Genomic DNA, 27,374 nt, shown 5'->3' on the forward strand with positions numbered 1-27,374 from the left:
ACCTTCGTTTTTGCCGTAGCTTGACACACATTGCTTGACACTGAGAACTGATAGGATCTCTGAGGGAGAAGACAGAACTAAGTCCACCCTTAACCTAATCCCTCCATTCTTGGGATGCAGAGAGTATTTACCGAAACATTCATGTTCGAAGCCAGGTGTGGTGGTGCGCTCCTGTAGTCCAGCTACTCGGGAGACTGAGGCAGGCAGATCTTTTGAGCCCAATAGTTCTAGGCTAGCCTTGGCAACATAGTGAGCTGTCTGTAAAAACATAGGTTTGAAAAAACCTGTAACATGTTCGTGACCTCCTGAAAGAAGTCGGAAGTTGCAGTCATTCGAGATTTTATGTAATATAAGCTATAGTAACTATGCTGTGGATATAAATTAGAATATATTCGTATCTTTTATTTGCAATAAATGTAAAGCTGAATCTTAGAATTTCAAACGGATAAATTTTAACAGCACTATTCCCAGGGCTTTTTTGGTAGTGATAGAAAAGTGTAACTGTTGAGTTTTTCCATATTGGCAATATACTGCCAGGTTCCCTTATGGACAGAATGAATCATCGGCTGGGTGCAGTGGCTCATGCTGCTAATCCTCAGGAAGATTGTAAACCTTAGGACGCTGAGGTGGGTGGATCGCTTCAGCCCAGGAGTTCCAAGACCAGCCCGGGCAACATGGCAAAACTGCCTCTCTACAAAAAATTAGCCTGGTTTGGTGACGCGCGCCTGTAATCCTAGCCTGTACTCAGGAGGCTGAGGTGGGAGGATCGCTTGAGCCCAGGAAATTGAGGCTGCAGTGAGCCTTGAGCATGCCAGTGCACTCCAGCCTGGGTGACAGAGTGAGACCTGTCTCAAAAAAAAAAAAAGAAAAGAAAAAGAAAAATGAATCATACGTTTATACTGTACTCCAGAATCCCCAAGTAAGTTTCTAACACAATTGTTTCTATTGACCAAGCAATTTTGGCATTTTACACTGAAATTACAGTGGCTGTTAAATTTAGTCTAAACTGCCCTTTAAGTGTTGGCAAAAAGGAGAAGAAACAGTGTAATTTGTAATCCCTCTTCTGTGTAGCTGTCATTATGTTGAAAATTATGTATTCTTTGTCTCATCTGTCTGTGAAACACAGATAATTATTACCTACCTTAGTGGTCAAAATGACTTTGCAAAGTTGTTTGGAATGTTTATTACTACAAAAAATTAAAATTTTTTTTACACTTAAAAATGCTTAGTAGGTTTTTAAAAATAACTTTGTGAAAATTTAGTTTCAGTAATGAAGCATTTCTTAAAAGGGCAACCATTATTATGGCAAAATTTAAAAATCATTTAGAAAAAGAGTACTATTTAAATTGGATGCATGTGAGAAGACTATTTGAAGAACTTTTGGAGAAAGAAAATCTAAAAACAGTTGTTTTTATTTGTCTAGAAGTAAGGTTTAGTTTATGCTTCTAAAATGCCTGTGGCTGGGAAAAGCTTATAAAGCATAAGGAGAGGAGGAAACCTTGAGGGATTGCTTGAATACTTAAAAATGAGGAATGCCTTTAAAGGCAAAATAGAAACTGTCTAAAAGAAATATGAGAGCCCTGTTTGTAATTTTGAGTTGTCTGATAGCCACATTAAAAAAAGTAAAATTAAAGATGAATTAATTTTAATATATCCTAGAATTAATTTTAATAACGAAATTTATATATTTTAATAATAAAATATATAAAATTTAATACTATTTTATTAAGTATATTCAAAATATTTCAACATGTAATCAATATCAAAATTATTGAAGTATTTTACATCATCTTTTTGTACTGTCTTTAAAACCCAGTGAGTATTTTACACTTTCAGCACATCACAGTTCAGACTAACCACGTTTTAAGTGCTCAGTAAACAGTGACTACTCAATTAGATAGTGTAGTTAGAGTTAGTATCTAAGTTATAAAGAATTTTTACAAACCAGTATACATTCCAGTAGGAAAATGGACAAAGGAATTGAATACAAAGTTCATAAAGTTGTTCAAGTGGCCAATAAAAATGCAAAAATGTTCCATACTGAAAAACAGAGACTTTAAAGGGTTTTACTTCTCACTGCCTATTTCATTTTGGCCGAATTTTTCATAATGATAATACCCCATATTGAGGGTGTGGGAAAACAGGAACTCTCTTAACTACTGATTGAAAACATAAACGGTTTATGCCCTCTGACCTAACAGTTTTTACTCAAAAGGATTTACTTTAAAGAAATAATCAAAATACATATTAAAATGTTTGCAGAAGTTTATTATAGTAATAAATTGGTAGTTCATAGTTATGGAGAGTGGGAAACTGAAATATATTATGATACCTTTATTATGGGCTGGTGATGTATACAACCATTTTTTTAAAAAATTATAATTCAGGGCTGGGTGTGTTGGCTCATGTCTGTAATCCCAACACTTTGGGAGGCCGAGGTAGGGGGATCACCTGAGGTCAGGAGTTCGAGACCAGCCTGGCCAACATGGTGAAACCCCATCTCTACCAAAAATACAAAAACTAGCTGGGCATGGTGGCGGGCGCCTGTAATCCCAGCTACTTGGGAGACTGAGGCAGGAGAATCACTTGAACCCAGGAGGTGGAGGTTGCAGTGAGCTGAGATTGCGCCACTGCACTCCAGCCTGGGCGACGAGCGAAACTCCATCTCAAAAGAAAAAAAAAAGTTATAATTTAGAAGAATAGTGACATGGAAAATACTCTTGTGTTATTAGGTAAAAACTGTAGAAAAATACAGTGAAAATATATACTGTGATATTAACAGTGAGTTTGTCTAAAAATTTTTTTATTTGTGTTTTACAAATGATCTACAGTACACATATACTTCTAAAGAATAAAAATGTTACTTAGTTTCTGTAGTAAGTATATCCTTTTTTATAAAAAGTTCTTTGGGTTAGGATAGAGCACATATTTCTTTTTTTCATGTATTTATACCTTGCCTCATTTGGCAAAAATTTGAGAGGGGAAGACACTTAAGTATACTAGATGAACACTGAAATTAATAAAAGTGTAATTTTTAAATAGAAAATAGAAATCAAACATACTATGTTATTATTGTCTCCAATCTGCTAGTATTTATTGTCATAAGAAAAGTAGGCTGAGAATTTAACTTTTATCCCCAGCAGAGGTCCCTCCTCCTCCTCAACCTCTTTAAATAACTAAGAGTATTGACAGTTACAAAAGACCAGTCTGGCCAACATCGTGAAACCTCATCTCTACTAAAAATACAAAAATTAGCTAGGCATGGTGGTGGGCGCCTGTAATGACAGCTACTCAGGAGGCTGAGGCAGGAGAATTGCTTGAACCCGTCAGATGTGGTCTCAAAAAAAAAAAAAAAAAAAGACCATTTAGACTGTCAATGCTCTTAGTTGTTTAAAGAGGTTGGGGAGGAGGAGGGACCTCTGCTGGGGATAAAAGTTAAATTCTTAGTCTGATTAAGAGAGCATTGACAGTTATAAAAGACCATTTAGGGCTGGGTGTGGTGGCTCACACCTGTAATCCCAGCACTTTGGGAGGCCAAGGTGGGCGGATCACCTGAGGTCAGGAGTTCTAGACCAGCCTGGCCAACATGGCAAAAACCTGTCTCTACTAAAAACACAAAAAAATTAGCTGGGCATGGTGGCAGGCGCCTGTAATCCCAGCTACTTGGGAGGCTGAGGTGGGAGAATTGCTTGAACCCAGGAGGCAGAGGCTGCAGTGAGCCGAGATCGTGCCATTGCACTCCAGCCTGGGCAACAAGAGCAAAACTCCGTCCCCCCACCAAAAAAAAGACCATTTAGGCAGGCAGACAGGAAGATTCTATGCAGATCAAGTTCATGATAGAATTTATTGTACTTAAGTATAAAATGAAGCTAACTGTAGTATGTGCCTCCTAGAGTTTTTGTGAATGAGAATCATTCAGCATTGGATGCCAGGCATTATAGTTGCTGATAGTGTAGTGCTGAACGAGGTGGATGGTTTCCACCTTTCTTCCACCAGAAATAAATATATTTAAAGTGCCATAGAAGAGATAGGCAGGATGATGGGCTAGAAAGTAGCCAGGATGGGCTATTTCATTCGATAAGATGGCCTAGGACTCCAGCTTTTCTGAGGTAATGACTGAGCCTAGGCATGAAAGATGAAAATGAGCAAGCCACGTGAAGGTCTGGGAGAAAGAGCAATTTGGGAAGAGTAAAGAGGAACTGTAAAGATCAGACTAGTATGTATATATGTATGTATTTTTGAGAAAGGGTCTTGCTCTGTCACCCAGGCTAGAGTGCACTGACAGGATCACAGCTCACCGCAGCCTTGACTTCCTGGGCTCCAGTGATCCTCCCACTTCAGCCTTCTGAGTAGCTGGGACCACAGGCTAGCGCCACCATGCCCAGCTAATTTTTATATTTTTGTTAGAGACTGGGTTTCACCATGTTATCCAGGCTGGTCTCAAACTCCTGAGCTCAAGCATTCCACCCATCTCGGCCTCCCAAAGTGCTGGGATTTTAGGTGTGAGCCACTGCGCCTGGCCCAGACAAATAGTTTTAAGGAGCAGAAAGAAACCTGTTGTGTCTAGGGTATGGTGGGGTGGTATGAAAATAAATTTGAGTTTTTTTATTTTTTGTGGTTTTTTTTGAGATGGAGTTTTGCTCTTGTTTCCCAGGCTGAAATGCAATGGTGGATCTCGGCAGACTGCACCCTCCACCTCCTGGGTTCAAGCAATTCTCCTGCCTCAGCCTCCCAAGTAGCTGGGATTACAGGTGTTAGCCACCACGCCTGGCTGATTTTTGTGTTTTTAGTAGAGATGGGGTTTTTCCATGTTGGTCAGGCTGGTCTCAAACTCCTGACCTCAGGTGATCCACCTGCCTTGGCCTCCCAAAGTCCCATTACAGGCGTGAGCCACTGCACCTGGCCGAAATTTGAGTATTTTAAGCCATAGGCTTAGAAAAAGAGGAGTGTTTTAAAATATCACTCTGGCCCAGTCGTAGTGGCTCATGCCTGTAATCCCAGCAAAATTTGGGAGGCCAAGGTAGGTAGATAACTTGAGTCCAGGAGTTTGAGACCAGCCTGGGCAACATGGCAAAATCCCATCTCTACAAAAAAAAATTAAAAAATGTAGCCAGGTAGGGTGGCACACGCCTGCGGTCCCAGCTACTCAGGAGTCTGAGATGGGAAAACCACCTGAGGCTGGGGAGGTTGAGGCTGCAGTGAACCATGATTGCACCACTGCCCCAGCCTGGGTGACAGAGCAACACCCTGTCTCAGAAAAACACAGGTGGGTGCGGTGGCTCATGCCTGTAGTCCCAGCACTTTGGGAGGCCAAGGAGGGTGGATTACCTCAGGTTAGGAGTTCAAGACCAGTCTGGCCCACATGGTGAAACCACATCTCTGCTAAAAATACAAAAATTAGTCAGGCGTGGTGGCACATGCCTGTAATCCCAGCTACTTGGGAGGCTGAGGCAGGAGAATCACTTGAACCCGGGAGGTAGAGGTTGCAGTGAGCTGAGATCACGCCACTGCACTCCAGCCTGGATGACGGAGTGGGACTCCATCTCAAATAAATAAATAAATAAATAAATAAATAAAAATGAAAAAGAAAAATAGAATTAAGCAAGGCAGTAGAGAGGTATGTCAAGATGCAGTCTAGGAAGTTGTCATCATCTCCTATTGTTTCCTAACTCAAAAAAAAAAAAGATTCTCTGTTTTTTACTCTGCTCTGGCGAAAAGTTACATCAGCAGTGGTCTTCTAGACTGAGCTACTCCATCCAGGTCACACTTTTGCTTGCTACATGATTAAGGATAAAAAGGATTTTCCTGTAGTTTTGGCTAGCTGAAAGGATTAAAGTAAACCAGAGATAGTCAATCTGTTAATGGTAGACTATATTACAAATTGTGATAATGATGTTAATAAGACCTTGATGAAGTTCCAGATAATTTAGCTATGGACACATTCTTAGGTTTTTTTTTTATTATTATGGGCATTTTTTTTAATACAGGGAAAGTATAAGGTATAAAGTAAAAACTATGCATAATTCAGATATTTCACCACATTTTTAGTAGTTGAAATCATACTGTATAAGTCTTCCGCTTTTTTTATGCAACATTATAACATGAGTGTTTTTCCTTGTTATTAAAAGTTTTTAATGAATACATAATAAAAGTATAGTTACCTGCCGTAATTTAATCATTCTTCTATTAGGGAACATTTGAGTTGTTTGTTTTTTCCTGTGATAAATAATACCATGAGGAATCATCTTTGCATTCTATATTATGTATTTTAAATTCACACTTAATAACCTCTTTAAAAGGTTATATAACCTCTTAGTAACCTCTTTAACAGTTATTTAGCTTTCATATATTACTGCCTTAGAAATTTTGGAAAAGAATTATTGAAATAGTCTCTTAAGTAAGGAGACTGAAATCTAGAAGACAGGCTGCAAGCTTGACTCTGGCTCTGAAATTAGCCGGAAATAAACTCACGTTGCAAGAAATCTTTTTGTTTATTTTTAGTTGTTGTTGCGGAAGCAACGTATACAGTAGACTGAGTTGTCAGTTTGTGTGAGAGAAAAAGAGTGTCTTTTTGTTGTTATTCGTAGCCTAAAAATGATGGCCAGATTTTCTCTGGAAGCCAGAGTAGTGGTAGGTGACAAACCAGATTGGAGAGAGAGAGGACAAGTAGTGATCACTGGCAGTGGCCATTAGGTCACTAGCTACAGAGGCCATGAGAGTAAAATAAAGACGGAGAAGTGTGGCTGTTCTGAGTAGACTGCTGATAGGATACCAGTAACTCTGCAGTCTTGAAGACACAGCCCTTATATACACAGCCATAAGGAAGTTCTTGTCCAGGCCAGTAGAATAGTAAGTGCCAGAGTAAAGACTTCGATATGTAGCTTGTTTAGAAGTCACCTTGAAAAAAGAATATTAATGGTGGGTAATATTTTTCACTATCTCTTTGCTTACTGGAATTAATGAATTCAGTAATTCTTTTTTTTTGTTTGTTTTTGAGATGGAGTTTTACACCGTCACCCTGGCTGGAATGCAATGGCGCGATCTTGGTTCACTGCAACCTCCGCCTCCCGGGTTCAAGCGATTCTCCTGCCTCAGCCTCCCGCATAGCTAGGATTATAGGCGCCCACCGCCACGTCTGGCTGATTTTTTTGTATTTTTAGTAGAGATGGGGTTTCACTATGTTGGCCAGGCTGATCTCGAACTCCTGACCTCGTGACCTGCCCAGCTTGGCCTCCTAAAGTGTTGGGATTACAGGCATGAGCCATGCACCCTGCGGAATTCAGTAATTCTTTAACCAGTGGTTGTGTTTCTATTGCTATGTGTTAGGTATTATATTTGTTTTATTGAGTTAAATGTGCTTCAGTATAGTTTTTATAATATACAATATTAGGTGGTAAATGTATGTGCCATTTTCTGTCTCGTATGAATGCCAAATGTGTACTTTTAAAGTTGCTGTTACCTGAATTTCTACTGGTGTTAAAAATTAAGGACTTTTCAAAACAGCCAGCAAGAAAAAGCTATCAAAGATTATGAAGATAGTGTCAAAAGCACTTAGGAGTCAATTTTAAGAGGCCTCTACTGGCCCAAAATAGAACAGTTTGAGCATTAGTCAGGATAATGACTAAACTAGATTGAAAAATGCCAAGTAATGTTTAAATTTATGAAGTTGTAATGATATACACACAAATTAAAAATGTGTCACTATTACAGGACCTTGGGTAATTAACGTATTATTTTGAGAACTGGTAAATAAAGGGAAAGAAGCATTTAGTCTGACTTTCCTATATGAACTACTTTTCTGAATAACCAATAAATGATGGATATTTTCTCTTTGTAGAAATATTCTGAGTAGTAAATGAAGGAGTAATAAAATTGGTATCATCACTTTGTAACCACCTAATGAATAAATGATTCTAAGCATTGAAGAACAGTAGACACTATGATCACAAATAAATCAACCAGTTACTGTGTGGTTCCTGATGAAAGAACTCATCACCACTTAACAAAGTAGTGTTGACCTAATAAAAATAGCCTGAAGTTAGATAAAGCCTTTACAGCCATTGATTTATAGAACATACAGAAGAATGGGCTAAACAATACCATAGGAATTCAGTCAGCAAAATTCAGCCTGGGAAACTACCAGGACAAAAATTCAGGACAAACAACCTGGCTTTTTCAACATAAAAATTGCAGTTAAAAAAAAAAAAGACATTCTGTAGCTTAAAAGAGACTTAAAAGACATCTCAATTAGTCCCAATATGTGGACTTTATCTGGATCTATTCACATAGAAACTGGAAAAAAATTGTAACATTTGTAACAACTGGAAATTTGAAATTGAGAATATTTGATATTAAGGTTTTTTTTTAATTTCTGGTAATGGTGTTATGGTTGTGTTAAAGTTTTTGTCTCTTATAAATACATACTGAAATATTTATGGATGAAATTATATCTGAGATTTGCTTCAAATTAATATTGGTGCAGGTAGAGATGAGATGAAATTGTCCATGAGTTGATCATTGTTGAAAGTAGGCAATGGGTACGTGGCAGTTTATTGTGCTGGTTTTTCTACCTTTGCATACGTTTGAGATTTTCTGTAGCATTTTAAAAACAAAAGAGAACACTGAAAAAAATCTAGCATCAAGTCATGGAAATGGGTCGTCTTCCAAGGAAGGACTTTTAAACTGTGGAGTAATCCCTCTTTAAACATCTTAGCACAAATTCTATGAAAATATTTCATCAGTGTATGAAAAAAAAGTTAGTGGCATATTGTCTTTGTCAGGTAATAATTACAGAAGATATTTTGAATAGGGCTGAACAGTCAGAACACCAGTGGCCAGGATGAAGAAGATGCTTTTCTGGAGTGTGTTTCCTATGAAAATCTGCTTTAGCCCATATTTACTAATTATTTTTGCTAGTAGGCAGCATATTTTAATGTGTAGGAATCTTCTGCTGTTATATTTGCTTTACTGACCCTTTAAAAAATAGACACAAATGACCAAAAACATTATAGGCCTTCAACAGTTTCTCAAATAAGTAAAAGAATCAGTTCACATCAGAAAGTTTTTCAAGAAAATAAGTTCTAGGCCGGAAACTTGAGTGAATACTTATGTTCCCTTATGTCCTTTGTGCTCTTCATATTATTTTCAACATTCATAATAATTTATGTTCCTGATGAATTCTCTGAGCCATTAAGAAATGGCTTTTCTTTCAGAATGCATATATCTGCACACACAATCCATGAATTAACATTTTTGGAAGATCATTATTAAGCACTTACAAAAGTTTCAACTCTTAAATGCTTAACCCTCCATCCTTGGAAAAACTTGACTATCTGTAATGATGTAATTTGATTTCACCTAAAACTTTACAAAATATATGAATGATATCTATATAGGGTTTTTGGGTTCTTTCAAAAAGAGGAATTATCAGTACTCATGGTAAAAAAAGAGAAGGAGGGTCACAGGAAAATAGGAACAAATTTGGTTTTCTAGTACTTGGGTAAATTGTGGAATATACTTTCCTTCTGTATTTGAGCCCTTCAAAGCTCACAGTCAACCCAGATGAAGCAGCTGAAGTGCTTTGTAATTAGTCTTCTATTCTTCACTCAATTAAAATTCCCCATTTACTGAGGCATCTCACCAAATGTTGATCTAATTATCTGATTAAAAAATCGGTGACAGTATGAATGAATGATTAATATAATTCACTTGATTGTGAAATGAAAGAGGAATAAATCTTTAGCTAGTGGAAGAAGGACACAGGATAATTTTGTGTAGGAAGTCTTCCTGACCTTCCCTCCCAGAGTCCTTTATTCTGAAAAGTAATTATGCCAACATTTTTTTAGCTTGCAACCAACATGCAAAATAAAGAGTATCTATTATGTACTATATACCTTTCAAAATAGCTGAATAGCATAAATATTTTATTTGATTTTTTATATTTTTAAAAATTTCCAAATAAGTTTACAAGTTAGAGAAAATTAGAATGTTGTCACTAATTTTTCTTTACAAAATGGTATTTCATGTGTACCTAGAAGCAGTGAAACACCTCTGGAGAGGGTGGCTTGGCAATTAATTATGCAGCTAGGACTTGGTTTGAAATTAAAGTATATATATTTTTTCTTTTAGAGTGGCAGAATTTAGTGACATTTGGAAGCTTTTCAAACATGGTTCCCTGTAGTCATCCATATATTGGTACCCTGAGTCAAGTAAAGTTGTACTCCACAAATGTTCAGAAAGAAGGACAGGGATCACAAACACTCAGAGTGGAAAAAGTACCATCATTTGAAACAGGTATGTGTAATTTTTTTAATGTACTTTTTTCTGTATACTGGAATAGTTTGTGTAAAATTATTTGTTCCCTGGATGTTTGATAGAACTTACTTATAATACTGTCTGGACTGATGTTTTCTTTGTGGGAACTATTAAAGCACTTATTTAATTTCTTTATTTTTTCTATTTCTTTTTGACTCAGTTTTCTACGAAAAACTATCTACTTATCTACTTAAACTAAAATTTTAATTTATTGGTATAAAGTGTATAATAATGTTCCCTGTTTACTCCCAATAGCATATGTAGTTATGTCCTTTTTTCATTCCTAATATTTGTCTTATTTTCTTGGCTAGTCTTCCCAGAGGTTTGTGTTTTATTATTTTTCCAAGTAATTTTTTTTTACTTTGAACCATTATATGTTTGTATCCTATTTCGTCAATTTTTACTTTTTAATTATAGCCTCCTTTCTGCCTTTTTTTGGGTTTGTTCAGTCATTATTTTTTGTTTTGTTTTATAACTTCAACTTTTGTTTAGATTCAGGAGGGTACATGTGAGGGTTTGTTACATGGTATTTTGTGTGATGATGAGGTATGAGGTACACGTGATCTCATCACCCAGATAGTCAGCATAGTACCAAATAGTTTTTCAACCATTGCTGCCCTCTCTCTCTCTCCCTCATCTAGTAGTCCCCATTGCCTATTTTTGCTATCTTTATGTTCATGTGTACCTAGTGTTTAGCTCCTAGTTATAAGTGAGAATATGTGGTACTTGGTTTTTTGTTTTCTGTGTTAATTTGCTTAGGATAATGGCCTCTAGCTACATCCATGTTGTTGCAAAGGACATAATTCATTCCTTTTTGTGGCTGCATGGTATTCCATGGTGTATATGTACCATATTTACTTTATCCAGTACCCCATTGATGGACACCTAGGTTGATTCTAAGTCTTTGCTATTGTGAATAGTGCTGCAATGAACATATGAGTGCATGTGTCTTTTTGGTAGAATAATTTATTTCTTTTTGATATACACTCCCTGATGGGATTGGCTGGAGTTCTTTGAGAAATCTCCAAACTGCTTTCCACAGTGGCTGAACTAACTTACATTCCCACCAGCAGTGTATTAAGTATTGACTTTTCTCTGCAGTCTCACTAGCATCTCTTGTTTTCTGGTTCTGTCATTCTGTTATTAATTGTCAGTTAGACACTTAGTTTATTAACCCTTCCTTCCTTTCTGAAGTAGACATTTAAGCCATGATAACACATCCCACAGTTTTGATATATAATATTTTTATTATTTGTAAATCTAAATGTATTCTTATTTCTATTGTGATTCTTCTATGACTTTTTAGTTGTTAAAGCATCATTGTAAATTTACAGATAGATGGAATTTTTGTTTATCTTTTTGTATTTAATGTATTTCACAAAATGTGGTCTGTATTGATTCAGTCTTGAAATTTGTTGAGTGTAACATTTTAGTTTAGCAATTGGTCAGTTTTTCTAAATGGTTTTCCTGTGCTTGAAAATAATGTGTATTTTTAATTGCTGGTGTGGTGTTTATACACATCAATTCTTATTTTTAGTTGTTCAGTACAGATCTTTGTCCTGTTTTAAAAATTCATTATTACCAAGGGAGATGTTGGAGTATCACACTCTGATGGTAGATTTGATGGTCTTTTTTTATGGTTCTGTAAATTTTTGCTTTTTATAATTTGAGGCTGTCATTAGATACATACATATTTAGAATTATTACCTAACACTGATGAATTATTCCCTCTATCATTGTGCAGCTACTGTTTTTCTTTAGTGAGCTCTCCACTACATTTCTTTTGGTTACTATTTTCCCATCCTTTGATTTTAACTTAATTTTGTCTTAATATGATCATCTCTGTCTTTTAACTGGAAGTTTAGGCAGTGTGCATTTACTGTAATCACTGATATAGTTAAACATATTTCTACCATTTTATCATGTTTCCTTGTCCTGTTTTCTTAAATTCCTTTTTTGCCTTTAATTTTTTTTCTCATTCCGTCATCCTTTCTCCTCTATTCTCTTTCTCTCATTTGAAAGTTTTAGACTCTGTGTCTGTACTTCAAAGCCTAAAGTTAATTGATAAATTTACTTTCCTTCTGAAAAACACAAAAGCTTTAGAGTGCTTTAATTCTGATCACCGCCTCCAACTTATGTGCTATTTGTTGGCTAATATTTTCTGTCTATTCTGCTCTTTCTCTGCTATAAAGTATGCATTGTTGCTTGCTTAGATTTATTCAGAATCTTTGTTAGCCACCTTTTCTTATGTCTGATCTTTCTGTCTGATGTACATCCTATACAAGTTCGTTTAGCTGAGGATCTTTTGTGGGAAAGGCACATTTAAGATGTTACTCGATTGTTTTTTGGCTTCCACTAATTGTTGAGAAGTCAGATATTATGCCTTTGTTTGTATATTTTTTCTATTTGACAGCATTTTAAATTTGATTAGCTTTAATTTGAAAGTCTTTTTCTTTGGTATAAATGGCAGTTTTATTATGAAGTAACTAGGTATGTATTTCTTTGTATTTATTCTACTTGAGATTTGTTGGGCTTCCTGGATCTGAGGATTGATATTTTTCTACAGTTCTGGAATTCTACAATTCTCTTATTATCCCTTCATATATTACATCTTCCCATTTCTGTATTATCTCCTTCTGGAACTTCAATTAGAAATATGTTACATCATCTTATGTTTTTCATGTCTTTAAACCTCTCTATCGTATTTTCTATTTCTTTACCTTTCTGGCCTGCATTCTGTATTATTTCCTCAGGTCTACCAGGATCACTAATTTCCTCTTTAGTTGCCTCTAATATGCTGGTTGATTATGTATGTTGGGTTTTTAACTTAAATGATTATATTTTCCTTTTTTTTTTCTTTTTCTTTTTTTTTTTTTGAGACCAAGTCTCATTCTGTTGCCCAGGCTAGAATGCAGTGGTGTGATCATGGTTCACTGCAGCCTTGACCTCCGGGGCTCGACCTACCTTAGCCCCCTAAGTAGCTGAGAAAACAGGTGTGTGCTGCCACGCCCAGCTAATTTATTTTTATATTTTGTAGAGACAAGGTCTCCCTGTGTTGCCCAGGCTGGTCTTGAACTCCTGGGCTCAAGCAATCCTCCTGCCTCAGCCTTCCAAAGTGCTGGGATTACAGGGGTGAGCCACTATACCGGCCATATTTTTCATTTCTAGAAATTGTTTTTTACCTTGCTTGGTTGGTCTTTAATTCCTTGGTTGTATTTTCAGACTTACCTTTTATTACATTAGATACGTTAAACATAGCTATTTTATATTTTTAACAGAAAATTCTGCTATATGAAATCTTTTTGTTTCTCACTATATGAGACTTTTCTTCCCTTTTTTGCTCTTATTCATGATGTCGTACCTGTGTTTTATAACTGTGAGTTCTTCATTTTCCATGATGTTTTTGTATCTTGAAAGTATTTGATGTTTATCTGGACTGAAAATGACTTTCTGCCTGGAAGGGTTTGTTTTTGCTTTTGTGTGCTACTCTCCAGTAGCATTATTGGGACCACATTAAATTCAGTTCTCTGCTTTAGATTTACATTGTGAATTCAGACTGTAACTTGTGTTAGGGTTCACTTGTCTGTAGGATTTTCAGAGGAGTATTTTTTTCTTCCCCACTATTTAACACCAAAATACAGATAGGCCAGCTTACTTGCTGTTCCCTTCTATGTGTATTATTTATTTCTAGTTCATAGTGATCCCATGGCTGTGGCTTTTTACCTCAGTGTCCCCTGTTAGACTCCTTATCTTGGCAGAACCTAGTCTTATTCTCTGGTCTTCCATGCCCGTTGTAGCTCTGGAGGTAGAAATAAGCTCAAAGAATCCAAGCTTCAATAGAAATCCGGGGAAAGCTGGCTTTGATATGTTCATTTGTTCTGTAGAGATTCTGCTTTCACTTCATTTTTGGCCTTTTCGTATCATTTTTTGCTAGACTAACAATGCATTTAAAAAGATTTTGCTTGGGGTACAATAAAAGGAAGCATTAAAGGAAGTCCTTTATTCATTTATTCATTAATTTACTCAAGAAATATTTATTGAGCACTTTTTATATGGCAGCAAATGAGAATGACTCAGAGTTGATTACTAAAGCAGAAAATTAAGCAAACAAATATTGTATTGTAACATTTAGCCCTGTATTCATGTGTTCAGCATCTGTGGATTCAACCAAACAAGGATTAAAAGATTTGGGGGGAAAATGGATGGCTGCATCTGTACTGAACATATACAGACATTTTTTTCTTGTCATTATTTCCTAAACAATACAGTGTAACAACGGTTTACTTAGCATTTGCATTGAATTCGGTATTATAAGTAATCTAGAGATGATTTAAAGTACATGGGAGGATGTGCATAGGTTATATGCAAATACTGCACCATTTTATAAGATGGACTTGAGCATCCATGGATTTTGGTATCTACAGGGAGGTCCTGGAACCAATCCCCAACAAATACTGAGGGATAACCATACTGTGATAGGGGAAATTCATTAATGGTGCTGCAGGGGCACATAGGAGAGGCACTTAACTGAGTCTTGAGTGGTTAGGAAAGATTTCCATAAGGAAATGATACCTCCTTGGAGACATGAAAGAAAAGTAGGTATTGGCCAGGTGTGGTGGCTCACACCTGAAATTCTAGCACTTTGGGAGACCAAGTGTGTGGATCACTTGAGCCCAGGAGTTCGAGACCAGCCTGAGCAACGTGGTGAAACTCTGTCTCTACAAAAGATACAAAAATTAGCTGGGCATAGTGGTGTGCACCTATAGTCCCAGCTACTCAAGATGTTGAGGTAGGAGGGTCACCTTAGCCTGAGAAGTCAAGGTTGCAGTGAGCCATGATAGTGCCACTGCACTCTAGCCTGGGCAACAGAGTGAGACCCTGTCTCAAAAAAAAAAAAAAAAAAGTAGGTATGGATGTGTGGTGAATGGTGGAAAAAGGAGGTAAAATTCCTGGAATAGTGAGTAGAGGATTTGGCGGTGGGGTTGGTAGTGTTGAAAGTACAAGAGACGGTGATCCAGCTTCCATATTCCTTTTAATTTTTTTCTACTGCTCTCTTGCTTGCTCACTATGTTTCAGCCAAAGCAGTCTCCCTTTTTCTCAGCCATGTTCTGAGAAAATGGCAAGAGTTAAGCACTAGTCAGATCGGGGTCTTGTTTGGGAGTTTGGACTTTGTTTTGTAGGTAGTGGGAATAACAGAGTATTATTAATACAAGTAGGGGAGGTACTTGATCAGATTTAAGGTTTTAGAAAGATAACTAGTTGCAAAATGTCAAACAGGTTGCAAAGGAGGGAGATTGAAAGTAGTAGTACAAATGAAGGTCTGGAGTAGGGTAATAATAATGCTTTTTTTTAAAGGAGTAGATGACCTTAAGAGATCTAGGAGCTGAATAATTAGGACTTAGTAATTGAATCTGGGGGATGAAGAAGAGGGTCAAGCCAAGGGCAATGCTTGGTTACTGTTTGGCCAGCTGTCTAGATGATTTCATTGATTTCTAAAATTAGGAGTACCAGAGCTGGAGTATATTTTAATGAGATGATGGCTTGGTTTGCACATCTGAATTATAGGTGCCTATGGAAGGTCTTAACAGATGATGCAGTGACCAATAGGCAGTTGGTTATCCAGTGAATCTACTAGTCACTGCATCGTCTGTTAAAATGTCACACATCAGGTCGGGTGCAGTGGCTCATGCCTGTAATCTCAGCACTTTGGGAGGCCGAGGCAGGCTGATCACGAGGTCATGAGATCAAGACCATCCTGGCTAACCCGGTGAAACCCCATCTCTACTAAAAATACAAAAAATTAGCCGGAGCCGGGCATGGTGGCACGCACCTGTAGTCCCAGCTACTCGGGAGGCTGAGGCAGGAGAATCGCTCGAACCCAGGAGGGAGAGGTTGCAGTGAGCTGAGATCGCGCCACTGCACTCCAGCCTGGGCGACAGAGCAAGACTCCATCTCAAAAAACAAAAGATGTCACACATCTTAACACAACTACTATCCTACTTCAAGATATCATTATCTCTTGTCTGATTTACTGTGGTAGTATTCTCCCTGGGATCTCTGCTTCCATTCTTGTCCTTCTGTAGTTCATTTTTCACGTAACAAGTGTGGTCTTTTTAAAAACAGATCATGTCACTTTTTTAATTAAAACTCTCCATTGGCTTCTAGTTACCCATAGAACAAAGCCAAGACTGCTAGAATAAAATTAAAATTTACTATTCTGACTCTCAAAGTTCTTTCTAGCTGATCTGGCTTCCGTATTCCTCTTTATTTTCTTCTGCTACTCTCTTGCTTGTTCATTATGTTTCAGCCAAAGCACTCTCCTTTTGGTTCGGAGAAAATGGCAAGCTTGTTGTTATAGGGCCTTTGCTCTAGTTGCGTTCTCTTTCCAAGGTGCCCTTCTCCACATGGCTCAGCCTCTTCTGGTCATTCATATCTCAGTTTAAATGTCAGCTCTGCATAGAGACATTTTAAAATCACTCAACCTAAAGTAGCCACCCAGTAAGTCTTTAATACTACCCTAATTTAATTTTTGGCATAGGTAGCACTTACTCCTGATTGATGTTTTCCATATTTTATTTCCTCATCACCTACATGTTTGCAAGCTCCATGACAGCATGAACCTCAGTGTCTTGCTGATAGTAGGGACATAATAAATATTTATAAGTGAGTGAATGCTTAGAGTTCTAACCTGGAACTAAAGATTTAGGAGTTTTTACCTATACATAGATGGAACTGAAGCCATGGGTCTGTTTGGGACAGTGCAGGGACAGTGTTTAGAGTGAGGAGAGATCTTCTAGTACAAAATCCCCCACATGGGTGAGGGACAGGTAGAAGAGGAGCCTGCAAAGCAGACTTGAGAAGGAGTGGCTGGAGAAAATCCAGACTATCTGGTGTCAGGAGAAGACAGTGTTTGAAGAATAATAAACATTTCAAGACCATTTTTCCTTTAGTTAGATGTCTTTCACAGGGGAAGATTTTACAGATTCCTTGAGAAACCTGTATACATTTAATGGCTCCTTGTTTTCATTCTTTTTCCTAAGCCTCATCCTCCCTTTGGGTTTACCTGTGCAATTTCTTCTCTTTCTTTTGTGGTGATGGAGAACTGCTGGGGTAAATATTGATTGAGAGTTTGATTTTATGCAATGAAAGAATGCAGAGTGTAATGAGTCCCTAAGTTCCAGAAATAAGCATGTTTATTAGAACACAGTTAAGGGAAAAGAAATAGTGATGAAATAATATAATTAAGGGTAAAATATGTTACAATGCTCTGCAGAGGTGAACACAGACTCAGGGGAAAATATTTAATATGGTTCCACCATTCAGAATCTTTCAAATTGAAATCCATGATTAAGTTTCTTTTTTCTCTGCTGACTGGAATAAAAATGTTAGTTTATTTTCTTATATTAGAAATACATTGTTTATTGACAGTTTTATTTTGGGCTCAATTTTTCAGTACTTGCTTAGGCCACATTAGACCTTGTTAGCCATCAGACAGAGTGCAAGTAATTGCTTGATTGAAAGATAATTTGTATATTTAAAGATTTGAGATTGAGTTTTGAATAATTCAAATCACATGATAAAGTCAGGAACAGCTCATTAAGAAGCAGAGACTTGCTAAGGAATCCTTAAGTTTTTAAGGAGCATTCAGATTTGTTAAATTTTAGTAAAATTAGTTTTAATTTTGCTAATGACAGCAGATGTGTGGCAAACAGCCAGGGTTTGAGCTTAAAACAAATGTCTAGCGATATTCATGGATAGAATGTTTGGTTACTGATTGAAATCATAAAGATTCTACTGCAGTGATGCAGTGTGAGTTTATTAAGTTGGTGCTATGTAAAATAAGTATTCATACATGTGTTTAAGCCATTTACTAGCATTCTTGTTTGTGCTGTATAACACTATATATTTAGTAACATCTAGACAGTTTGTAGTGAGAAGAATATCCAGAAATATACAGCTTAAAGCAACTCATTTTATGTGATTAAGTTCAATAATGTTGAGCATTGTAGAAACTAGGGTTGTTTCTGAAACTTTTGACAGTAGATATCAGTTGTTTGGACATTAGGTAAGTTTTGAAAATGTATTATTCCACCTTTTTCCCTTCACTCCTCTCTGCCCTGCTCTCTGTTTCCCAAAGCTAAATTGTAAGAAATGGATGTGTAGGTTCTATAGATAAAGATACTTTAGAATTTGCTTGCTGTGTAGCGAGACAAAAATAAAATCATAATAATTTAATTTTTTAAGGTCAAATGTAGTTACTAAATAGAAGTGTTTTTAAGCTTATCTTCAATTTACTAGTATGACATCATAACCTACTTAGGATTTGGCAAACACTTAAAGCCTTTTTAGATTTTCTGTACATGCTTTAGGTATCAAAACGTACTGTATTTTGGTCAAGTGAAGTGGCTCACACCTGTAATCTAGCACTTTGGGAGGCCAAGGTGAAGGATCCCTTGAGGTCAGGAGTTTGAGACCAGCCTGGGTAACATGGGGAGGGAGACCCTGTCTCTACAAAAAATAAAAGAATTATCCAGGTGTGGTGGCATGTGCTTGTAGTCCCAGCTACTTGGGAGGCCGAGACGGGAGGATCACTTGAGCCCAACAGGTTGAGGCTGCAGTGAGCCCTGATTGTGCCACTACACTCCAGCCTGGGCGACACAGCAAGATCCTGTCTCAAAATAAAATAAAATAAAATAAAATAAACACACACACAGTATTTGGTCATTTTCCTAGTGGTTTTCACTGAAAAACAATTGCCAAGAAATATACTAAAAATTACCTGTAAAATATTTTGCTTTTATTTCAAATAGGGCTTTGCTTTTGTTAGTGCTTAATATATTGGCATTTAATTGCTTCATATAAGCTTTGAAAGAGGTAACTCAATGGATAGGCAGAACTTCTGATCACAGTGGTATTGTGAATACATACTTTGAGGCATGTGTTCTACTAACCACTCATTGGAATAATAGATAAAGTATAAAAAGAGAAAATTGAAGACATAGTTGGACTAAAAAAAGACATGTTATATCAAAGAAATGGAACAGAAGCATCTGGACTCTGGGTCTGTAATCTGGGAGTGGCAGCTAGGAGTTTGGCTTGTTTGGAGTAATATGCTACATGTGCTATTTGAATAGCAAGGTACTGGAGTCAGACTCACTATTTGAACTTATCCACCCACCCCCACAGAAGGAGACTGAAAATAGCTAATTCCAGTTGCTACCTGAGGCTGTGTCTTACAGGAAGCTGTAGGCCTAGGGAGGCAAGGAGAAGACCAGTGTACTAGTCCATTTTCATGCTGCTATGAGGAAATACCTGAGCCTGGGTAATTTATGAAGAAAAGAGGTTTAATTGACTCACAGTTCCATATGACTGGAGAGGCCTCATGTGGCAGAAGGCACCTCTTCACAGGGTGGCAGGAGAGAGAATAAGTGCAAACAGGGGAAATGCAAGACACTTATAAAACCATCAGATCTGGTGAGATTCACTCACTATCATGAGAACAGCATGGGGGAAACTGCTGCGTGATCTGATTACCTCCTCCTGGTCCTGCCCTTGACACATGGGGATTATGGGGATTATAATTCAAGGTGAGATTTGGATGGGGACACAGAGCCAAACCATATCAACCAGGAACTGAAACTTGCTGTTTCCTGGCTTAGAGACTGGATTGAGGGGAAGGAATTTCAAACTGGCAATATGAGATCAAACTGGCAATATGAGTTTTGCATAGAGGTATTAGAATGAACTCTGAGCACAAGAATGTGAAGAGGAGAATGAAAGGATATACCCTATTCAGGGTAAGATGGTGAACTCTAAAATTTCAAAATACATGAAGAATCCTAATGCTACGAAAGCCAATAGAATCAATAAATGTGAATTAATTCCAGTTGAAGCTAAAATAACAGCTTCAATTGCTTTAAAATAAGTTTAATGTTCTCAAAAGGTTAAATGAAGGACTCATATTCATTAAAAATGACAGGGAATTTTGAAACACAAACTTGCAGAAATAAAACCAGAGCAAATAATTAGGAAAAGGAGACAATTAGAAATCTTAGAAATGAAAGTGTAGCCACTAAAGTAAAAATGTAGTAGACTAAATAGTCATTGTCAGTAGGAGAGTTAGTAAATTCAAATTCAGTCTGAAGGCACATAGGAAGGCAAAAAGATATTCCAAAAATTGAAAGCATTTAAGAACTTGCAGCTCTAGCCTACATTTAATAGGTAGAGAAATGGTGAGGAATCAATATATAAAGAGAGATGAGAATTTTTCAGAATTTGAGAAAAACAGGACTTCTCAGATCAGAAATATGTTTTGAGTACCAAGCAGGATAAATAAAAAGAAATCTACCCCTGACACTTTGTAGAGACACCACAGATTTAAAAACCAAAACACGAAACAACCCAACTTAAAAGCTGACAAAGAGAAAAATCAGAATACTATCAGCCTAATTGTTGTTCTACTGAAGTAGACTTTTTACCTGCAAAAATATGCAGAAAGCAAAGATGGGGGAGTGATTTGGAATAATATCCAGGAAAGAGTAAGAGGAAAAATAAATGCTACTCTGGAATTTCATAGTGATCTAAATAATCATTGTAGAGTGAAGGCAAAAATAGGAATGTTATCATACATATAAAGATGAATGTCATTTTAAAAAAAGCTTATTTTCTAAAATTTTGGGAGGTACATAGTAGGTGTATATATGGAGTACATGAGATGTTGTGATACGGGCATGCAATGTGAAATAAGCGCGTGATGGAGAATGGGGTATCCATCCCCTCAAGTATTTATCCTTTGGTTTATAAACCAATTACATTCTGTAAGTTATTTTAAAATATACAATTAAGTTATTACTGACTATAGTCACCCTATTGTGCTATCAAATAGTAGATCTTTTTCTATTTTTTTAATCCATTAACCATCTTCATCTCTCAAAGATGAGAGTCATTTTACTAAACAACCCCTCCACATTAAAAAACAAACAAACAAAAAAAACTATTAAAGCATGTACTTCTGCAAGATGCAGAAGAAACCTGGAGTTACAGAAGGGAAAGGATGAAATATCCAAGAGACAACAAAGAACAAGAAATGGATAAAATGTCCTGGTAAAACTATTGATAATAAAACAGTAAACTTTTTTTTAATATTAAATGCTAAAACTATAATCAACCAGGCTCAGTGGCTGAGGCCTGATACTATAACCAGGCTCAGTGACTCAGGCCTGTACTCTGAGCACTTTGAGAAGCTGAGGTGGGAGGATCACTTGAGCCCAGGAGTTTGAGACCAGTCTGGGCAACATAGTGAGACTTCATCTCTACAAAAAATTTAAAAATTAACTTTGATGTGATAGTGTTCACCTCTGGTCCCAGCTACTAGAGAAGCTGAGGTGGGATCACTTGAGCCCAGGAGTTGGAGGTGGCAGTGAGCTATGATCTCACCACTGCACTACAGCCTGGGTGACATAGCAAGATCCTGACTCCTAAAAAAATAATAATAATAGTATGATGGAAGACATTTAGATCACTATGAAATTCTAGAGTAACATTTATTTTTCGTCTTACTCTTTCTCAGATACTACTGCAAATCACCCCCTACCCACCTTTGCTTTCTGGGCAACAAGAAAAAAACTGTGGAGGAATATTACCAGATTTCAAATTATACTACAGGGCTTTAATAATCTAAACAGCATAGGTTTAGGTTACTAAACCTAAATCCTTTATGCTGTTTTACTGTTATAAAGACAGACACATAAACCAATGGAACAGAATACAGAGCCCATAAGTGAATCCATAGATATACAGTGAGCTCATTTTCAACAGATGTGCCAAAAACATACATTGGGGAAAGGACTGTCTATTCAGTAAATGGTGCTGGGGAAAACTGGATATCCATATGCAGAAGCATGAAACTAGACCCCTTCTCTCGCCATTTACAAAAATCAAATCAAAATGGAGTAAAGACTGAAATCTAAGACCTCAAATGATGAAACTATTTAAAGAAAACATTGGGGAAACTCTCCAGGATATTGGACTGGGCAGATTTCTTGAGTTAGATCCCACAAGCACAGGCAACCAGAGCAAAAATGGACAAATGGGATCACATTAAGTTAAAAGGCTTCTGCACAACAAAGGAAACAGTCAACAAAATGAAGAGACAACCCATAAAATGGGAGAAAGTATTTGCAAACTATTGATCTCACCAGAATATATAAGAAGCTTAAATAACTCTATGGGGGAAAAATCTAATAATCTGATTAAAATGTGGACAAAATATCTCAAGAGACGTTTTCAAAAGAAGACATGCAAGTGGCAAAAAAAGGTGTATGAAAAAGTGCTTAACATCATTGATCATCAGAGAAGTGCAAATCAAAACTATAATAAGATATCATCTCACTCCAGTTCAAAAGGCTTTTATCCAAAAGACAGGCAATAACAAATGCTAGTGAACATGTGGAGAAAAGGGAACCCTTGTACATTGTTGGTGGGAATGTAAATTAGTGCAGCTACTATGAAGAACAATTTGGAGGACCCTCAAAAAACCAAAAATAGAACTACCAGCAATCCCACTGCTAGGTATATTCCCAAAAGAAAGGAAAACATACAAAAAAATTAGCTGGGTGTGGTGGCATGTGCCTGTAGTCCCAGCTACTCGGGAGGCTGAGGCAGGAGAATTGCTTGAACCCAGGAGGCGGAGGTTGCAGTGAGCTGAGATCGTGCTGCTGCACTCCAGCCTGGCGACAGAGCGAGACTCCGTCGCAAAAAAAAAAAAAAGGAAATCGGTATATCAGAAGAGCTATCTGCATTCCCATGTTTATTGCAGCACTGTTCACAATAGCCAAGGTTTGGAAGCAAGCTAAGTGTCCATCAGCAAATGAATGGATAAAGAAGATATGGTCTATATATACAATGGAGTATTATTTAAGCATAAAAAAGAATGAGATCCTGTCATTTGCAGCAATACGGATGGAACTGGAGGTTGTTACGTTAAGTGAAATAAGGCAGGCACAGAAAGAAAAACAGCACGTTCTCACTTATTTATGGAGCTAAAATTAAAACAAGTAAATTCATGGAGAGAGAGAGAGTAGAATGATGGTTACTAGGGGCTGGGAAGAATAGTGGGAGGTGGAGAGTGAGGATGGTTAATGGGTACAAAACTGCAGTTAGATAGAATGAATAAGAGCTAGTATTTGATAGCACAACAGGGTGACTACAGTCAGCGATAATTTATTGTACATTTAAAAATAACTAAAAGAGTATAATTGGGTTCTTTGTAACACAAACGATAAATATTTGAGATGATCGATGCTCCATTTACCCTGATATGATTATTACACTTTGTATGCCTGTTTCAAAATACCTCATGTACCCCATAAATGTTTAATGTGTACCCATAAAAAATTAAAATATAAAAGCAAATTTAAACAAAAACCCAAAAAATAATAAAAAGTTTTTTTTAAAGAAAAATAATGTTAAACAATAGAAATACAGTCTTATAAATTCCAAATAGCAATTGGGGGATTGGATGGGAGGCGAATATAGAAAACTTTTTCAATCTAAGAGATGGAGACGGCAGGAAAAGCGAAATAAAAATAAAAGCAAAGAAAACAAGATGGTAAACTGAAAACAATAAGATGGCAGAAGTACAAATGTACCACAGTTAAGTAGTCAGACTTAGTGGTGTTCCATATCATTTAAATGAACTCATAATCTAAATATGTGGAATTAGTTAATTTCTGTTTCATTCCATGTTTTCAGAGACTTATATTCTGGATCCCCTACTACCCCATCTGCTCAAGGACTTTGCTTTTGGGATTATCCTGTTAGCCTACTTTATATTTTCTTCGTGGTTATTGCATCATTCCTATCTCTATGTAAAATGCAGTCAACCTTTCCTTGATTCATTCTCTTCAGCTCCTGCTGAAAGTCCAAATACCGCTTCCATTTAATCTCCTATTTTCTCCTCAACTATTGTGTCCATTCCCATTCTTGTCCAGAAACTGCTGTTTTCAGGAGGTTCCAGTGATCTTCATGTTGGTAATCTAGTATCTATTCTTTTTTTTACCACCTAGAAAAATACACAAATACCTACACATAAAATTAAATATTGTTCTAAACACAGGCAATACAGGAAGGTGGTTAAGAGTGTAGAGTAATCAAAATAACTGTGCCTCCATGTTTAAAATACTAGCTGCGTGACTTTGGGAGAATTTACAAAACCTTTCTATGCCCCAGTTTCCTCATAACAAGGAAAACTGGCTCTGTGACTTTGGGGGAAGTTATAATAATCTCTGTGCCTCAGTTTTCTCATAAGATGAAGATAATAGTATTTTCCTCAGAGCAATTTTGTGACAATTAAATGAAATAATTTGTAAAGTGCATAGGACAGTACATGGCACATGTTAAATGCTTAGTATATATAGCCATTCTTCATAAACTCTGAAATGTTATTGAATGAGGATATAAATATAATGGAAAATGTTTTAAGGGTGAGATTTTTACAATATATTTGATACATACAAAAGGATATTATAATACATATGTAAGTTAACAACATAATAAAATCAAACCTTGGAATTTACTACTCAAGCTAAGAACTTCACTGTCTTGATCACATCCTCCTATCTCCATTTGTCCTATGTATCCATGTGAAAAAAAAGAGGAAATAGCTTTATACATTTGTATATAGCCCTGATTATTTACTTTTGCTTGTTTGTGAACTTCGTTGTGATAGCTTATTGTATATATTCTTTTGTGATTTACTTTTTTCATTAAATTTAGTTGCTAAGATTTATCTTATTGATTGGTGTGTGTGTCTGGTTCATTAATGTTCTTGGAGATAATTATAGCACATACTGTTCAGGGATGTTGTATGAGTTAAATGAGTTGATACATGCTTAGAGTAGTACTTAGCACACAGTAAAAGCTCAAAGAAAGATGGCCATTATTATGTTTGTTACTATGCACTGCTGTATGAAATGTTGTGTGAATATAACATGGTCTATCTATCTATCTATCTATCTATCTATCTATCTGTTCTCTTGCTAATGGGCATTTGGGTTGTTGCCAGTTTACAACAACAGAACAGAGTCCTGCTCTGAACACTCATGTACCTCTGTCCTTGTGCCCTCGTGCAAGAGTTTCTTGAAGCCAAATATATTGACCTAGAAGAATTGCTGGGTCATAAATTATGCTTGTGTTCAACTATAGTAGATAATGCCAACTTGTTTACCAAGGTATTGTGCCCATTTATATTTCCACCAGCAGTGTATGCATTTTCATTGTTCCATACCCTTGCCAACATTAGGTATTCTCATATTTTCCTTTTTCTTGATCTGATGGTTATAAAATAGCATCTTATGATTTCATTTGGATTCTATTAATAATGGGGCAGACATTTTTTCAAATGTTTATTGGTTATTTGTATATCCTTTTCTGTGCAAGATTGTCCTTCCTATTTTTTCTAATGGATTGTCATTTTTTTGATCTAGAGGACTTATTTAAATATTCTTGATTACTTTTGTTGATTCTATTTGTTGGAAATATCTTCTCTCAGTTTGCGGCCTTTCTTTTTTCTCTGTTTTTTTTTTTTTATGGGATTACTTGATGAACAGTTTTTCTGAGTTTTAATTTGGCAGAAATTTATCCAGTTTTTCTTGTGTTGTTTATATCTTGTTTAAGAAATCTTTCTGTACCATAAAAGTATTCTGTATTATCTACTATAAGGCATGTAAATACCTTAACATTTAAATAATTAATTAATCTACCTGTAATTGTTTTTTCTTTATGGTGGGAGGTAGATTCAAATTTTTTAAATTTAATGTGTTTTTTGGTAGGTGTAGGGTTGTACAGTTGTCCCAGTCCCACTTAATAATCATTCTTTATTGATTGAATGGTATCTCTGGTACAGTTTTAAATAGAAGAACTGTGCATTCTTTTGTTCCTTAATTTAAAAATGCATTTAAACATTCACCATTAAAGACAATGTTTGTTGTAGGTTTGTTTTACCCTTTAAAGAAATTCCTATTTGTCCTAATTTTCTAAAAGGGTTTGAGATTTGCATGGATGTTGAATTGTATTAAATGCTTTTTCTTTAGCTTCTGAAATGATTGTATAGTTTCTCTTCTTTAATCTGTTAATGAGATAAATAGCTTTTGTAATGTTTAACTACTCTTACATTCTTAAGATGAATCCAACATGGTCTGATACATTGTCGTTTTTATGCATTGCTATATTACATTGGCTAATATTAATTAAGTTTATAGATTTATGAAAGCAGTTGTTTAATGTAAACTTCTTTTAATAAACTTTACAGCAGAAGGTATAGGCACAGAACTCAAAGCTCCACTTAAGCAAGAACCTCTCCAAGTAAGAGGTAAATATATTTTATCCTATTTTTGTATTATAAAGATGTTTTGAATTAAATATATAACATTGGTTTATGTAGAGCTCTTTATAGTTATATTATTCTAAGAGTATAGTTTATTTTTTACTTTTATTTAAATAGATTGACCATAAGGATTTATTCTCTTACATATAAACTAATTTTCTATTAAATTTATTTTGCATTTTTGTCACAAATTTTTTCAAAAGCCCAAGAAAGGAATAATGGCAAATAAGAATCATCAATTGCATTATCATTTTTAGAAGAGTAAGGCAATTAAAGAACAAGAGGCCCACACTTTTCAGCTACTGCTTATTCAAATCCAGGTAGAGTTTGGCCGTTATTGTCTGACTTTATTTTCTAGGAGAAATTGAAGGAATTCCTGTTTGTAGCTCTCTTCTGTATAACAAGCTGTGGTTCCCATCTCCAAAGCAGCTGTTTCATGGAGGCAGCAACTCTATGATTAACAGCACTGTGGCTTTGGCATCAGATAAAACTGGATTAAATTTGTGGCTCCAGTGCTTACCAGCTGGCTGACCTTGGGCAATTTACTTGACTTCTCTGAGGCTTAGTTTTCTCCCCTATAACGTGGTGCTGAAAATGAGACTTCTTTTCTAGGGTAACTTTGATTAACACATGGTAGACAATTAATAACAATTAATGTTGTTATAGCAGCCATCAT

At 36.3% G+C, this 27,374-nt stretch overlaps 1 protein-coding gene across 2 annotated transcripts in view; it reads left to right on the forward strand.

Annotated features, from left to right (window-relative positions):
* SLC30A9 (solute carrier family 30 member 9) overlaps window positions 1-27,374 on the forward strand; it is a 99,932-nt gene that overhangs the window by 958 nt on the left and 71,600 nt on the right. For both annotated transcript variants that reach the window (NM_006345.4, XM_047449525.1), the window contains exons 2-3: window positions 10,129-10,293; window positions 26,624-26,683. In NM_006345.4, coding sequence (NP_006336.3) covers window positions 10,129-10,293; window positions 26,624-26,683 — 225 coding nt within the window. The remainder of the gene's footprint in view (window positions 1-10,128; window positions 10,294-26,623; window positions 26,684-27,374) is intronic.

The sequence above is a fragment of the Homo sapiens genome, chromosome 4 (genome assembly GCF_000001405.40).
Source record: "Homo sapiens chromosome 4, GRCh38.p14 Primary Assembly".
In the NCBI taxonomy this organism is placed as follows: domain Eukaryota; kingdom Metazoa; phylum Chordata; class Mammalia; order Primates; family Hominidae; genus Homo; species Homo sapiens.